The sequence below is a fragment of the Homo sapiens genome, chromosome 6 (genome assembly GCF_000001405.40).
Source record: "Homo sapiens chromosome 6, GRCh38.p14 Primary Assembly".
Taxonomy (NCBI): domain Eukaryota; kingdom Metazoa; phylum Chordata; class Mammalia; order Primates; family Hominidae; genus Homo; species Homo sapiens.
The window spans coordinates 118,261,708-118,278,799 of record NC_000006.12 but is presented as its reverse complement, the minus strand read 5'-3'; the positions used below and the strand labels follow the sequence as shown (position 1 = coordinate 118,278,799).

Below are 17,092 nucleotides of genomic sequence, written 5' to 3'. Positions count from 1 at the left end.
TGTGAAGTGCTGTCAAGCACAGGTAACATTTTGTTTTCTGGTGTTGTGGGTCACAAAGACAAATGCTTTCTGTAACATGCAACTGGTTTCCTTTCCCTGTTGCCCTCCTCTTCTCTCTCTCCTTGCCCTGTTGATTTTCATTTAATTATATAATTCTGTAGCACAACTGGAGAGAAATTAAATGGCAGGACTCTGAGACACAAGGCTGGTCAGCCCTCGAAGTCACTAGAGAGAAACCCTAGGGAGAGTCAGGCACAGTTCTGTGGCTCACAATGTGCCTTCAGAGGGAATGATGTCTGCAGTAAGTTGGCCTCATATGCTTAGGGGATGGGGACAGGTAGGTAAAGTGATGCACGGGAGTTTATGTTTTTATTGTGTTTCCTTATGGACACAGAATTTGGCTAAAGTTGTATCAAAGGTCATATAAGGGGGAGATGGCTCAAGCAGCCAGCTTCAGTGTGGGGAAGAGTCTGTAGCCCCCTCCCTGCCACTTACATTCACTCTGCACACATTTTCCATGCAATTCCATAAGCCACGTTCTGTGCTCACTGTGGAGACACCTTCTGAGGGTAGCAAATGTCAGTCCCTTTTAGGGCTTGCTGAGATTGATCATTACAGCATGTCCTAGGATCTTAAATCCTTGTCCTAAATTTCTTTGAGGAAAGTGGTTTTAGAAACAGGTGGAACCTGAGAAGTCCTGGATGACTATTAACTAGCTCAAAGCGTGTCTGGTATTTTCTAAATCCATTTGGAGACCAATTAACCATTTCTTTCGTGCAAACTGCTCCCTTCTGAAAGGTTTTTATGGGCTCAGAATGCCCATTACATTGTTTCCTTTCATGGCTTTTTGTTAAGTTCAGTTTTTTTCCCTTTACTAAAGTAGCACTTTTTAATGGTTACATCAGTTTAGTGTTTCTTGGCTAAGGCAAATTGCTGTCACTTATGTGCTACCACTGCCTCAGGCCAGTTTTTTTTTTCTGTTGGTGTTTAACCTAATAACACACTTCTGTGTCTCCCCTAATGGCATCTTGGCAATGAAAATGGGCAGAAGCTCAATTAGGAAACACTATGAATAATACAATTTAGTCTCTCAGAGTGTGCAGGATTTCCTGAAATGACAAAGGGATTTCATTTTCCCTTGTCCCCTACCACTCTAAATCCCCTCCTTGTTTGTGCTCCACCCGACCCACATCATTCTTCAAACACATTTCTCAGGTTATAAAAAGAGCATCGTATGTGAGCCAACTCCTTACCTATTTGCCAGTCCCAGGGCACCTTCAACAGTTCCTTATGCTCCATTATAGCTCTGCAAATTCAAAGGAAATGAACCTGATGAGCAAGATTAGAATGCACTCTACTTTCTTTCTTTCTTTTTTCCCCCCCACTTATCAGATGTATACAAATAATGAAGCAACCAGATGAATTTCAGAAAGAATTTTGGGTCATGCAGAAGCAAGTCTAATTAGGCAGAGTGCAGTTTATCCCTGAAGAACCCGGTCGGTGTGTGAGGGTGTGCCACGGGGCCCTGGGGCGCTCAACCCTTCCTGCTCTTCTCACCCAAACAGTCTGCCTACAGCCTTTGTTTCTGTTTGACAGATACTTTCTGAAAAGCAAATGGTGAGGTTCAGAAAATGTCTGTGCTTGCAGGTGTAATCAATTTTCTGATTGAGTGTTTTCTAGGGCAATGGTTCTCAAAGTTAAATGTACATGACAGCCAACTGGAGAGTGGGTTAAAATACACTGTTTCCTGGTCCCAACCCTAGGGATTCTGATTCAGAGATCCGGTGAGATCCATGGATGTGCATTTCTGGCAAGTTCTCATGTGATGTCAGTGCTGCTGCTCAGAGGACCATATTTTGAGAACCTCTCATCTAGAAGAGAATGGGGAGGTGGCATTGGTATCACTCCACCAGCATTACTTTGATTCCAGTGAGCCCTCAATATATCCCACTTGCCAAGGACACCCTAGTGCCACTTCCATTATTTTGGTGGCATTGTCCCCCAAAGGGAACACTCAACTCTAATAGACTGTAACTGAAGCAAATGAGCACTAGATCTCTGAACATATTTTTTGGACTCAAGAATAATAACCCATAAAAGAAGCCATCTATCTACAAAATGTTGGCTATGAATAGTTGAACTAGATAATTCCTTTTCCTTTCACAAAGCTGAAGCACAAAATTTAGGAGCTTTAAAATGCCATCACTTTCAAAATGGACCCCAAATAAATCCTTCTCAGACTGTGCCTTGTTTGCTGTGAAGTTTTTCACCAGTATCTCAAGACACCAAAATTTGGTGGATTGTTGAAAACAGCCTATTTGTAAAACCTGTTTAAGGTGATGCTAAAATATCTTCCATAAATAATTTCAGACACTGAACCCATGCAATTAGAAAGTGCTTGCTTTGTAGAAAGAGATTGGTGAAATCAGAATTACCTGTTTGTAGAAAGGGATTCAGTAAAATTTGACTGGAGGTTATACTATCATTCTTCATGTCTTTCATGAAGCTAAAATATTGGTCTTTACTGGTGGAAAATTGCTTTGATTGAAACTTATGCTCATAACAAATTCTGAGGCAATAGTCAGGGATGACTTATACGTTCCAGTTGTAGAATTATTGCAAAACTGGTGCTTTTGACTTTGTGATGCTTAGTGAATGTCTGTATTATAACTTCACCTTTTTAAGGAAAATAGAAATGCTAAATTCTAAGAGATAAATTTGAAATATGGTCCACTCTTGCAAATCCACGGGCAGTAAAATCACACATTTATAAAAGGGTAATTTTATACTATAAGTTTTCTATTGGTGGTTGTCACTAGTAGACAGAATGTTCCTTTTTGGAAATGCATTGAATTGGGGCATTTATGCTTAGTTTTTCTACTTCTCTAAGTAATAACCCACTCATGGATTTCAGAGAATCAATCCTAATGCTTCTAATGCTTTCCTGCAAATTATTTACAATGTTTTATAAACATTAAGTGTTTTGTAAAAATTTATATTAAACTTGTTTAATTTGGAGGTGATTTACTAATAAAGATATTGAGTTGGCAGATTACATAAGTCCTTTGTACAGGAAGCTGGTGTCTGGATTCCAGCCTTGATTTTTACATCCCAAGAACAAAAATTGTAAGAATAAGTCTTGACAGTCCCTCTACTATCTATATTTCTTGTTATTTTTACTCACAATTGAATTCCACTGAAAAATGCTCCAAAGAGACCAATCATTCCCAGGAATTCCACTCGGCTCAGAGTTCGGATGATGTATTCTTCCCAGACGTTAGAAATACCATAGAGTGTGGCTCCTCCTAAGACCAGAAGGTCCCCTACCAGCTTATTTTCCCCTAGGAACCAACCAAACAAACAAACAGAGGGAGCATCATTAAAACTTTCTTAACAAGAATCTGGCATCGGCAAATTGAGCTTCCCTTGCCTATTCTATTTTGACATTTTTATAGAAGTCATGCAATTTCCAACTGAGATTTAGTAAAGTTTATCTGTGCTCTAGACACGTTCTGATATAAAAAGTTTGCCTATGTTGACACAATTAGAAGTCTTCTCTAAGAAAGAGATCAGTCTCTTCCAGATCACACCCTCTCTACAAAGCCCACTATCTTCTGTCCAGGTATCAGATTTTCACTTATCAGATTTATACAAATATGAAGTGGCACGATCTCGGCTCACTGCAACCTCCACCTCCCAAGTTCTAAGGGATTCTCCTGCCTCAGCCTCCAGAGTAGCTGAGATTACAGGCACCTGCCACCACACCTGGCTAATGTCTATGAATATATGCTAATACATGCACAAGTTATATTGGTTTCAGGACATTTTCCAGCAGTTTAGTGAACATGGCATAGAACAAACAGAATCAGTATACATTTCCACCCTCTGCTATTCAGGGAGGGAAGCTATAACAGAAGCCGTCAAGATTGCACTTTGACCATGGGCAAAATGTGTAACTGTTAGAAAATGAGAGTGAAAGGATTTATGGGTTGAAATTTTCAACTCCCCTGAGGTAAGTAACATAAGAGTGTAAATATATGTAATTCACTATCACATTAATATTTTTTCATTAAAAATTCTTTTTGTTTTAAACTCAATTTTGGGCTGGGCGTGGTGGCACACGCCTGTAATCCTAGCATTTTGGGAGGCCGAGGCGGGTGGATCACCTGACATCAGGAGTTCGAGACCAGCCTGGCCAATATGGCAAAACCTTGTCTCTACTAAAACTACAAAAATTAGCCAGATGTGGTGGCGGGTGCCTGTAATCCCAGCTACTTGGGAGGCTGAGGCAGAAGAATCCCTCAGAACCCGGGAGGTGGAGGTTTCAGTGAGCCGAGATCATGCCACTTCACTCCAGCCTGGGGGAAGCGTGACATTCTGTCTCAAATAAATAAATAAATAAATAAAAATAAACTCAATTTTGGTTGATTTAAAACAAAATAAATGCTTTACCCAGGTATTTCCTAGAATTGGGCAAACTTCCCACTCCAGGAAGTATGGAGCCAGGGAAGGAGGAGAGCAGAAATAAGCAGCTAGAGTGGCCTCACTGGTGGGCTCTGTACCCAAGTGGTCTCTGGCTCTGTCCTGCATAAGTCAGCAGTGCAGGAGCTCAGCTGACCTGCAGCTCTGGGGCAGTGGAAGTTGAGGATGGAAAGGGTGCTTACTCCAGCATGATTCTAAGGAAAGGACTCATGATAGCTTAGCCCTGGATTCCCCGATGAGCCTGGGTTCTCACTGTTCAGTGGGGAGCACTGAGTGTTTTTAGGTAGTGGCTTCACATCAAAGAATCTGGGCATCAAAGAATCAGTGGCTTCACATCAAAGAATCTGTGGTCACCTTGGAAGATTCTATCTCTAAATGGTGCCACTTTTTCTAAGGCAACTTCTTTTTCCTGTCAAGGATTGGAGATAGAGGGGAAGAGATCCTGAAGGCAGCATTGTGCTGGAGTCATCCTCAAGGGAATGGAGCTGAGAATGGGATTTTGTGAGAGCTGGAAGTTCTCTTTGGGTTCATGGGGAGTTAGGCATCACTGCCCAGGAGATGAGCTGAGAATCTGATGAGGCCCTAATGAGAAACCAGACTTGGTGAGAGGTCCCTGGGCAGATCTTTTAGGAAAATTAAGGTTGCTGTGACAGAATGTGAAATCTTTGGCAACCTGATTAATCTTTTTTATGTGTCAACTATAAAACAATGACAAACTTTTAATTTTAAGTAGTTCCTCTGAAGAATGACCCATAAAATAGAATGTATCTATAACTAAAATTGTAAAATTATAATGAACATGATCCAGTCTCTTCACTCAGAAGACATTTTAGAATCTTGTGATGACATGGGGTCATTATTATGAATATCAATTATTGTTGTACTAGTGAAGTGTGGAAGTGCTGCATAATATAACTCTTGGTTAATAAATTTAATGTTATAGAATGAATTGAAGAAAGCTAAATCATAATGAAATATTTTAATAGAAATTAGGGAAGCATCAATCTACCTTTTAAAAGTCCTAAAAAGAGGACACACTGTTTCAGTGAATAGTCTCACCAATATTTTTCAAACGCCACACTGTTATGGCCTCTTCTGTTAACTAGCCTTTGACTGTAGGAAATATACTCATCAGTACTTTGAGTTTTCACCAATTCAGTAATAATTATTGATCATCACAACACAATTTTGTGTAACCACAAGTTCACAAGTATTTTCTAAGTTATCACTAACAAAAAGATTAAATATTATTTATTATAATTTGCTGATAATTATATTTGTCAGTTTTTAAGTCATTTGAAAGTAGGTACCTATACATATAACATACATTAAAATTTAGTTAATTAAACATAATTAAATTAACCAGAACATAATTTTATCCAATTATATTATATAATGAAGTGTTTGATATAATAAAAAGTGTAGGTACTAAGACTAATATTTTGTGCCTAAAATTTGTATCTAGTTATTTCCAGGTGGAAAAATTATTATCTACATTTTCTCATTTTTTGTAGGTCTAAATTTCTATGCTAAAAAATGGTATATATATATACATATATATATATATGTATATATATATACACACACATATATATTTTTTAATCCAGGGAGAATATGTTTTAATGAGATTTATTCAATCAACCCTTTACTATAAAATTATATTTCCTCTGTTAAGAAGTTTGCTTAGCTAAAGCTGTTTTTTCTTACCTATTAAAATAAGCAGCAGAAAAAAAATTTGTATCTAGTTAACTGGAAATTATAACATATTGCATTAATAACATATAAAATATTAACATAGTTTATGCACAGCTAATGCAGTAGATGCCTGACACGGTGATAGCAATTTTTGCACAATGTTCATGGTGAAAGTTATGCTAGAACATCTGTCATTTATGTATGTATAAAACCACAATACGTGATAATGATTTACAAATTTTGGGTAAATGGACATGTTTAAAATTATGAAGTGTCTACCCAAACCGATAGTTCTCTCCCTCCTCTGAATTTCACAGCATTGGTATCTGTCTATGGCACCCACCATACTCCACTCCTTGTCTGTTACTTGTTAACTTGTGTATCTCATTTCCCCGCAGCCAACTGTTCTCTTACAAATCATGGTTGAAGGGCAGGGACTGTGGCTCACTCAGCTGTATATTCTGTGTGGTCTCCAGCATGAATCCTGCAGCATTATACATTCTCAATAAAAGGCTACATGAATTGAGCTGACTGAACAAGTCTTAATACATCCTATGGTAAATGTTTTCAGTGAGAACAGCTTTCAATTTATTGGTAGAGTTGGGTCTGATCACATCTCTATCACTTACTACCTGTGTAATACTGGGAAAACTACAGAGTCTTCCTGAACTTCAGTTTCCTTATATTAAAATTAGGTTACTGTGAGAATAAAATAAAATATGACATGTAAAATGCTTAGCATTGTATCTGACACTTAGTAAGTGTTCACTAAATGGTAGTTTAAAAAAGTGAATAAATTATTTCCTGAAGCACCTGTCTCTTTGGGTTGGGCATTTCTCATTTTGGATTGCTCCTTGATTCCAATCAACCTAGTCATAATTGCTTTGCAAAAACTGGCTTTCCTTATCCGATTTTTGTTTAAGTACTAGAAACATCATGTTTGGAGACATGTTTGTGTATGCGTGGTGGTGGGAGGAAAAAGGAAGGCTATTTGAAATCATGACTTACTACTAGGACAAGAAATAAATGGTGAGTTATATTATTCTAGAGTGTTGAAAGACTATCAGTGCAGTTCCTGAAAATGTATCCATCCCATTGAATACATCTGCCTCTCAAATAGGGGGAACCAACTATCTTGTTTTCCTGGGACTCTGTTGGTTTTAGCACTAAAAGTTCCACATCTGGGGAACTTCTCCATTCTGGGCAACCTAGGGCAGTCACTTACACTAATTTACTATGATAAAACGTCTTTACATTTGTTGTAGAAGTCACAATTATGGAAAAATAAGGACTAAGTGTTACAGCAAAAAGAATAATGGCTAAATTTCATATCTGGGCCACGTAATTTGGTGATGGTGTGCCCTTAAACATATTGCTTATCTTCTCTGAGGCTTGATTTCTTCAGCTGCAAGAATGACAATAAAAATTCTTTGCATAGTTAGGAGGATTAAATGAAATAATATATAATAAAGTACCTGACACCTGTGGGCACTCAATAAAAAGTGTCATTTTTACTTGATTGTGTTTGATTACCTGGCTCCTTGAAAATATTTTCCTTTCCTTGAAATAAATGTAAAAGTAAGTGTAATAAAAAATTATTGTTGGCATCTAACATCTTTGATAAATGAACTAAAAGATGCAATAAATGTATTGTGTTAGAAAAGGATATTTTGAAGGGCGAGAAGGATATTTCATAACAAGGAGCTATTTTGATTAGGTTTTATCTTAATCTTATTACCTTCTAACCTTGCCTTTTATATCCATTAAGTTTTCCCAGGCAAGCAGAGAAGTCCTGGTGCTGAATCTTTTCAACTTTACTAAGTCATTTTTACACACTCCAACACATCTATAATAGTTATAATATTCTCAGAAGCCACTTCTATTGCCTATTGCCCTGCACATCAGTAAATGCAGAGATGGTCTTTTGGAGGAGGCCTATACTGCTGACATGGAGCCAAGGTGACAAAGAGAATACACATATTAAGCCCACTGATTTTTTACCAGTAAGCTTGGAAAAGACATTTCCTTCAAGTGAGCTCAAAGGCGTGGAAGCATCCTATAGTGGGTGATGAGTTGTACAGGTGACAAACATAGAATGAGAACATAAGTGCTGTTCGCATCCTTCCCAACACATATACCACTCTATAGTCTCTAAGGCAGAGTCTTCCAGGCTGGGGACTAGGATGCTTTCTCTCCACCTCTGTCTAGAGTGGGAAAACTTGCTGGTCAAGTTTCATCAAAAGCCCTATTCCTGGCACATCATTCTGTGCCCTTAAACTTATATTTTGTACATGAAGTACTTAATGCCATCTAAGAAGTTTCCTTCAGCCAGACTTAAATCAAAACAAAGAATTTCTGGATAGCTAATGAAGAAACATGCTGACGAAGTGGAATTAAAGCAATTGCTTTAATTATAATGAAGTCAAAGAAACTTTGAAAGGGCCGACATCAATGTGCTTGGAGACAGAATTGTCAAAATCCCAAACGAAGATGAAACATAGATTAAGCATTATAAAAAGGATGAAGTCAGACAGTCTCTTTTCCTGTGCAAAATTGTTAATACAGTGATAATTTTATTATTACTGTGATTTTCTTGAGGTAGAGTCTTGCTCTGTTGCCCAGGCTAGAGTGCAGTGGTGCAATCATAGCTCACTATAACGTTAAACTCCTGGGCTCAGGCGATCCTCCCGCCTCAGCCTCCCAAGTGGCAGGACTATAGGTGCACACCACCATGCTGGCTAATTTTTTCTGTAGAGATGGGGTCTCACTGTGTTGCCCAGGCTGATCTCTAACTCCTGGCCTCAAGTGACCCTCCTGCCTTGGCCTCTTGAGTCGTTGGGATTTCTGAATGTGCCTGGCCTGGTGATGACATCTTATATGGACTTGGATGCCTGACTTATGTTCTGGTGAGTACCTGCAGTATTTTAGAAAAGTTTTGTGACCCTGGCTGATTAATGCAATTGAACCAACTCTGCCATAGACATGAAAAAAAAGGAATATTTTTGATAATGATATGTAACAATTTTAGGATTCTATTGACCTCAAAACCAGTGGGTTTTTTTTTCTTTAAAAAAATATGTTCTCTGTGATGGCTTAAATTGCTGCCTACTTTAATATTTTTATAGAGGCAGAGCATGTCCAATCATAATTTTATAAAATGAGTCCTTGGATCCTATATCTGGGCTGGTCTTAAAACATCATTCTATGTACTTGGGCACCATTTCAATAGCACAGAAGGTGCTCCACAATGATAAAGCTTAATTCTGTTAACACTGATGCTTTGTATATCACAAAAGCAATGATGCTGTGGGCCTTAAGCAGATTCACATGGAGAAACCAAATTCCACTCCAGTATGTTTTAGCCACATCTACATTGTTTTTTTAAAAATGACACTTTGGAAAGACTCTCTAACAGACTTACTTTCTTTTTCTTAAGCAGTTTTGCTTCTTTTCTAACACTTCATTTAAAATCAAAACAACATTTTTTACAGGATTAATGAATACAATCTAGTGAAATCAATTCAAATTAGCTTAACATTCTAGGCTTAAATGTTCATCTTTATAGTTGACTATCGAATGCAAGATGATGGCCAAGATGAATGGCTGGGGTTCATGAAGATAGAGTTTTTATAACTAAGGGTACTTGCTTCTGCTTAGCCTGTGTTTACACAGTGTGCGGAAAGCTGAGAAAGTGTAATGAAATTACAACTTTAGGCCGGCCGCAGTGGCTTATGCCTGTAATCTTGGCACTTTGGGAGGCCGAGGCTGGTGGAGCACTTGAGGTCAGGAGTTCAAGACTAGCCTGGTCAATGTGATGAAACCCCGTTTCTACTAAAAATACAAAAATTAGCTGGGTGTGGTGGCAGGTGCCTGTAATCCCAGCTACTTGGGAGGCTGAGGCAGGGGAATCACTTGAACCCGGGAGGTGGAGGTTGCAGTGAGCTGAAATTACGCCACTGCACTCCAGCCTGGGCAACAGAGCGGGACTCTGTCTCAAAAAAAAAAAAAAAAAAAAAAAAAAATATATATATATATATACATATATATGACTTTAGAACAACTGGCCACATTGTATAAGACAAAAATATTATCTGATTGGTCCAAAAAGATTATTCATATCAACATTACTACATGTATATAGCATAATATTGGCCTTTTCATATGACGTCTATCAATATGTCATGGAACCAGTGTTTCATAGAAGAGAATCTGGGAAACACTGAGGTATTTATTTTCAGATTTCTATTGAAGTGGGGACTGATGGTGTTGTGTAGATGGTGTGGATGTGTGAGGCTGAGGCTGTCTCTCTTTTGTTCTATGTTGTATCTTCAGCTCCCAGCAACATGGGACAGAGAAAGAGGCCTGCCCTGGAGGCCGGGGGCCTTGTGTTCCAGTCTCTGCTTTGTCAGCTCTGTGACTTTGGGCAACTCACTTGGTTTGGATGGATCTTGGTGTTCACATATGTCAATTACAAAGGAGTTGAACAAGGTCCTTTTCAGTTATAAAGTTCTATGGTACAACATACATGACATTGTTTCAGAGACTTAACGTGACCTTGTCTCATAAAGAGAAACGGTCCACTTTTGACTCTTTATCATCTAATTTCCTAGAAGAAGGGGCAATTCCAAGAACTATAGAAAAGTGGGTACTTTCTATCCCATTTCTAATGTTAACAAAGAAGGTCATTTTTTTTCTGTTCCAAAAACCCTTCTGTAGCTAAAATTTTGGTATATTTTAAAGAATTGCAATGCTTTAAAAAGGGTCTTCTGGAAACCACCCTGACTCAGGGCTCCCCCAGCAGATTCACAGCAATTTGATGAGTGAATCATGCAGCTTTACCTTATGGGTTTATAAACTCTAATTGATACCAATAACCCCTCCTCGCAAAGCAAATTAAAAACCATGTGTGAGAAGACTGAACTTAACTCTCCCTCCTAAAATTATGGAGCACTCCTAACTAGTCCTCAAACTTTATTTACTCGTGGGCCTATAAACCAACCTTCACCCAGTAGTTTGAAAGCTCAGTCTTTCTCTGGCTTGACAGAGAAAGGTTTGGGGTTGGGGAAATGTGTGGAAGGCCCTGTGGCTCAGGAGTGAATTAGCTCATTACCACCAACTCTACCAAGGACCAGGGCTTGGGCCAGGCAGCTGGTTCAGGAACGGACTGACCTCCAAAACATCTTCTTGGTAGGTCATGACTCTCAGTTTTAAACACTGTCTGCATGTTTCTGAATGGATGCAGAAAGGGCATGAAAGCTGTATTTTGCAAACTCATGCACTCAAGAAACATGCATTAAGCACCTCCTGTGTGCCCTGTTTCAGGTGTGGGGAACAGACATGAACAGGACACAGATAGTGGGAAATCCAGGTTCCTAAGGTCCTTGTTTTCACCCAACTATGAACATTCCATTTCTTGCCTTGGCCTCACCCGCAGAGGTAAGGAACCTGGTGAACATCCGAAGACTCACCTGCTCCCTGATGTCTTCCCACAAGCACATCTGCTCCCACCATGCAGCCCATTCCCAGGATGCAGACAACGATGCCGATGAAATGCACAGCCTTGTACCGGATCAGCAGGAAGAACCAGGAGAGCAAAATCACGACTGGGATCACAAAACAGTCCAGGAGCTATTGGGAGGGATGAAGGTAAACAACAACAGGAGATTCAGGAGGAAGCATTCCATGTAGTAGGGAAAAGTAATTTAGTTCTGCAGAAAGGGTTCTGCCTTTCCCCTGAACCTGAGATTTTGTGTAGACCCAGACTTGATGTACTTAAAACAGACTCTGAAATAAATGGAAATTAGCTTTATTTATTTACTTAATTGTAAACATCCCCCAAACTTTAAGGGAAAGGGGAGAAGGCAAATTGATAAGACAGGCTGGTGGTGAAGAGTCTCCTGCCTCCAGGTGCTGGGGCAGCTCTGCCTCCTGTCTTCCTCAGGGCCAGGCCATGCTCCATGGGAACATCTTTGGTTCGGGGACAGTACACCCAGCCTTTTTACATTGTCCCCCTATTTTACGAGTAGATCCGGGAATGGGAGATGAGGGTGCAGAGGTCTTATAATGTTTTATGAATTATTAGAAATTAGACAAAAGTTGAATTTAATTTCTCCTGGACAGCTGTCTTCCTGCTACCAGTAAAAATTGATCTGTTCTTGTCATTTCATTCTTAAAATAAAAAAGTGCTCTAAATATAAATACAAATATGAGTCTCAAAAGTAGAAATACTTAAAAGAACTATTAGAAAAAAAATTTTTTAAAGAAAGTTGAATAGAGTATAGCAAAAAAATTTGATTTCATTTTTTATATATTTTGTACAAATAGTGAGATTCCATCTGACATGTAAGTCCAAAGAGTTGATAGAGAATTTGCCCCAATTATGTAGAGAGATAATGTGGTGAAATGAGAAGACCCCTGTGCTAGGAGCCAGAAGACCTGAATTTGAGTACAGATTCTCATTTACAGCTATGTGACCTTGGGCAAATCACAAGCTCAGGAGCCTCAAATTTCTGTTAGTAAAATGAAGATAACAACTTTCCCCAAAGATCAGCATGAACCTCAGAGATACTACATATGAAAGTAATTCTTAAATCACGAGGCCCTCATTGCTGGTCTATAACTCTGCTTTCAAACACACTCTTTGGGCTCCATGGAACTAATTCAGATTCTACCACACTGTGGTAAGACCTCTGGATACACTATCCAAGACAGGGTCTTTCTTAGACAAAGTGATGTCACATAGAACTGCAAGTTCCTTGTACCACATGAGGAACTTATGATTTGTCCAACCATCCAGTATATCTCCTTGCTGGAATTCTAAACAAGTGGCCTCTACCACCCAGCTGCCAGTACAGGGCAGTGATCCTCAATACTCCTTCACTTTCATTGCCTATATCCTATTGATTACCAAATTCTGCCAATTTAATCTTCCAAACATCTCTCAAATCTACTCATGCCACCCTCTCCCACTTCTGCCACCTAGACTGAGCTAACATCCTCTGCTACATGGAACAAGCCTCTCCTTCATGCCCCAGGGCCTTCACTTATGTACACTCCTCCTTCTGGAGGAGCTCCACTGCTTGAACTTCCTCCTCCTTTATCCTTCAGGCCTGCACTTATAATTTGCCTCCTCAGGAAAGCCTCTTAGATCCCCAGGCTAGGTCGAGTCCTGTTTGATGCTTTTGTTGAATGCTGTACTTCTCCTCTGTAGTTCCAATTGTAATAGTACTTAATTAGCACAGGATTATTGGCATCAGAACACTGCAGGGATTAAGAGGAGTATTCAATAAGAGTTATTGAACAAATATATACAAAGATTTTTAATGACCAGAAACATCAAAATAGAGTCTCCAAGATTCACTGAAGGCTGGAAAAGGTTTGCGTATTTGCAAAGCATCCCTGAACATCAGAGTGGCTTCTTGGCACTGCAAATAGCATTGTGAATCCCCTCTATCCCCAAAGCTTTTTGTGACCTGGACAGATGCTCATGTTTCTCTGTGCACTGGTCTTCTCCTCTGCAAAATGAAACAAGCACTCAGAATAGTAAGCTATCCCTGAGGTTGCTGAGATGATAAGGTGAGGAAGGACCACGTGAATGCTAAGTAGCACTGTGATGGCTGGGGGCTGAGCCCAAAGGTCACAGCACTCTTGGAGGGGCTACAGGAAGGAGGTGGTGGCAGGTAGGATTGTACTACAGCACACAGTTGCTCACTGCAGTTAATTAGCAATGTGAGTTAATGATGTGGTAATATGCTCTAAGGTAGGTTTTACAGCTAGCCTCAGATGCTATTTCAGTGTATTAGGAAATTTCAGTTTGTCATTGAAAACTGTTCACTGGGCATAAAACAGTTGGTGTTTTGTGTTAAAAATTAAAAATGATTGAATCAAGTTGAAATATTTAGCTGCACACTACAGAATTAGGGTTTCATTATCTGGCTGGAAGCCCTCAGTCAGTGGAGCTGAAGGCCTCTATTCCTGAATTATTGAGGGCAAGCTAGGCCATGGTCCAATCTTTGAGGAGAGCTGAAGTGAGCTTTTAGGTTCTCAGTGTCATTAGAAAAGCCAAAGCACTTGATGAGTCCTGAGATCTATTCCTCTAATGGTTTGAGTTGGAAAATCCTTATTTGTAAGTGTCAGGTGGTCCTGTGGGTAAGTGCAAACTTTTAGAAAGAAGAGAAGGGAAAGAAGAATATAATCATAATTTTTCTTAAAGAAGGATACAATCAAGCCAGTGTTTCTGGGGCATTTGAGGAGAGAAGCCTGGTGCTTATCATACAATGGGGCCTCAGTAATTGGTGGCTGAATAAATCAATGAATTGTCAGACATATGGTATCACTGACTGTCAGAAGGGACATTAGAGATAATCAAGGTTGCTACTGGCATTTAGGGTGGGACAACTGATTTTGCAAGATTGTCTCATGCTCTCTGCAGGGCAGTTAGCATTGCTGGGCCTTGACCGTTAAACATTCTACACATTTGCAAACGCCCCTGGAGGGCAGTATCTCCTCAGTTTAGAATCACCAAGACCCTTGTATTTAATAGTTGAGGCTTCCTAAGTCCTAAGAGGTGAAATGATGTGCTCAAGGTCACACAAATTGTTAGTATCAGCAGAAGTTATGTCATAATAATTTTTTGGACAATGTTTTAGTGAAGGTCAATGACAGGAATATTTAATTGCTACAGCTGAAGCTCTCACCATGGCATCTGTAACTGTTGAAGAGAAACTGTTTGGCAGCTGCTCTTAGTAAACAGGCTATTCTTTTTTAGTGATTTTTGCCTTCAGCTTTCCCCTCGTGGTCACATAACATAAAACATACTGACAAAATAATTTTTCAACAGTTTTCTCGTAGCTTAATTCCTTGGCTAAGTGGTTGTTAGAGAAGTAGAAAAGAGAAGCATTATAACTGAAACTGTTAAAAAAGAAAACAAACAAACAAACAAACAAAAACTCCTCTTCTGATTGCCATTAATCTTTTCAGTAGATTTAACTTTCTTTGCATACATCTCTGAATCTAAAAAGAAATTATAAAATATCCATATGAAAAAATAAACAAATATTATTTTATAACCATCTTATGCTCTGAAAAATCTCCAAGGACATTAAAAATACTTTAATGGAAAAGTGAAGTGTTTATTACTCTTAGATTTACATAGATTCCTTTTTTCCCCCTAAGGATTTAAACGAATTTTATTCTCCTTATGCCTTGAATCCTTAGGCAACACATGCCAGAGGTGTCTACGATTCTGTTTTCTAATTTTATAGACACGGCCGGGCACAGTGGCTCACACCTGTAATCCCAGCACTTTGGGAGGCTGAGGCGGGAGGATCACTTGAGGTCAGGAGTTCGAGACCAGCCTGGCCAACATGGAGAAACCCTGTCTCTACTAAAATACAAAAATTAGCCAGGCATGATGGCGCATGCCTGTAATTCCAGCTACTTGGGAGGCCGAGGCAGGAGAATCGCTTGAACCTGAGAGGCAGAGGTTGCAAGAAGCTGAGATTGTACCACTGCACTCCATCCTGGGCAACAGAGTGAGATTCTGTCTCAAAACAAAACAAAACAGAACAAAACAAACAAAAAGATAGAGACATGGAGGCACACAGTACACAATGGCTGGAGAAAAGTCTCTGAAGTCATGGTGATAGCAACAGGATTACAATTTGAACCTTGTAGTTTTTTTTTAAATTCATTTTCTAAATAGAGATGGGGTCTCATTATATTGCCCAGGCTCGCCTCAATCTCCTGGGCTCAAGCAATCCTCCTGCCTCAGTCTCCCAAACTGCTGGGATTACAGGCCTGAGCCACAGCGCCCAGCTTGAACCCTGTAGTTTTAAACAACATTTACAGTTGGTTGCATTAAGTTTGCACTTACAGTTTGTAAAAACGATTATGTTATTTTTATGGTAGACAAAGTAAATCTTCACAACAGCCCTTTAAGGGAGTTATGACTGTATCTACTCTATAAATAAGGGAACTGATGGTCTAAGAGAAAAGCAAATTAGTATTAGAACTGGGGCTAAAACACTAGCGTCTGGACTGCTAGATCGGAGTTCAAGTGCAGCTTCCAAAAGTTATTTAAATAAAAAAGGTTCATGCTGACATTACTTTTAAGACAACAGAAGACAGTCAACATTAAGTAGCACTAAAATTTTAAAAATATGTATATGTACAGGAAGATTGAAGCGTCATTTAATTTCCCCTCTTTCTCCCTACCTCTTTTTCTTTTCCACTCCAGCTGATCTCTGACCATCTTATCACTGTGCCTTTCTCTGTGGCCTTTAATCACATTTGGTTATGCCCTCTCCTGCACACACGCATCCCATCCCTTCCTTCCTGCCAAAATCTACTCGAGCTTCTCTTTGGACTTCTGTGGATGCTCCCTTCCTTTGCCAGCACTCCGCAGACCCCTTAACCTGGCTTTAGACACCCACACTTCCGAAAGTGTGCTCATCATGATGCGCGCAGCCCCCTCAAACACGGTCATGAAGCTGTCCCAGTAGTGGACAGTCTCATGAAGATGGAACATTTTCTGAGTGTCTGTGAGATCTGCCTTCAGGCTGCAAACCCTCTTTACAGCTGGTGTGTCTCCCCAATTGTATCCCGGTTTTACAGAATATTTTACAAGTCTTTGGTCCACAAGAGTTCACAACTCTAAGTCTGGGATGCAGGGAGAGGCACAGGCTGTGGAGCAGTAACATGGGATGGGGATTAGGGGGCTGTCTCCCCTTAGCAATGCTACCAGGGGCTTCGGGCAACTGCTGGCACATCCCAGCCCCAGAGGGGTGGGATAGAGGGAGTTAGGAAAAGCAGAGAGAGGAAGTCCTCTGGGTCATCGGTGCTTCTGCCTCACCCCTGCCAAGTGGGTGGCCAGCTGCTACAGCCCCCCTCCCTTCAATATCCAAGGGAACCTCAC

The 17,092-nt window shown here is 39.8% G+C and overlaps 1 protein-coding gene across 2 annotated transcripts in view; it reads right to left on the bottom strand.

Annotated features, from left to right (window-relative positions):
- Window positions 1–17,092, bottom strand: part of SLC35F1 (solute carrier family 35 member F1) — a 410,408-nt gene that overhangs the window by 38,872 nt on the left and 354,444 nt on the right. For both annotated transcript variants that reach the window (NM_001029858.4, NM_001415931.1), the window contains exons 4-6: window positions 11,646–11,805; window positions 3,185–3,341; window positions 1,254–1,306 (exon numbers count right to left, since the gene is read on the bottom strand). In NM_001029858.4, the coding sequence (NP_001025029.2) occupies window positions 1,254–1,306; window positions 3,185–3,341; window positions 11,646–11,805 (370 nt within the window). The remainder of the gene's footprint in view (window positions 1–1,253; window positions 1,307–3,184; window positions 3,342–11,645; window positions 11,806–17,092) is intronic.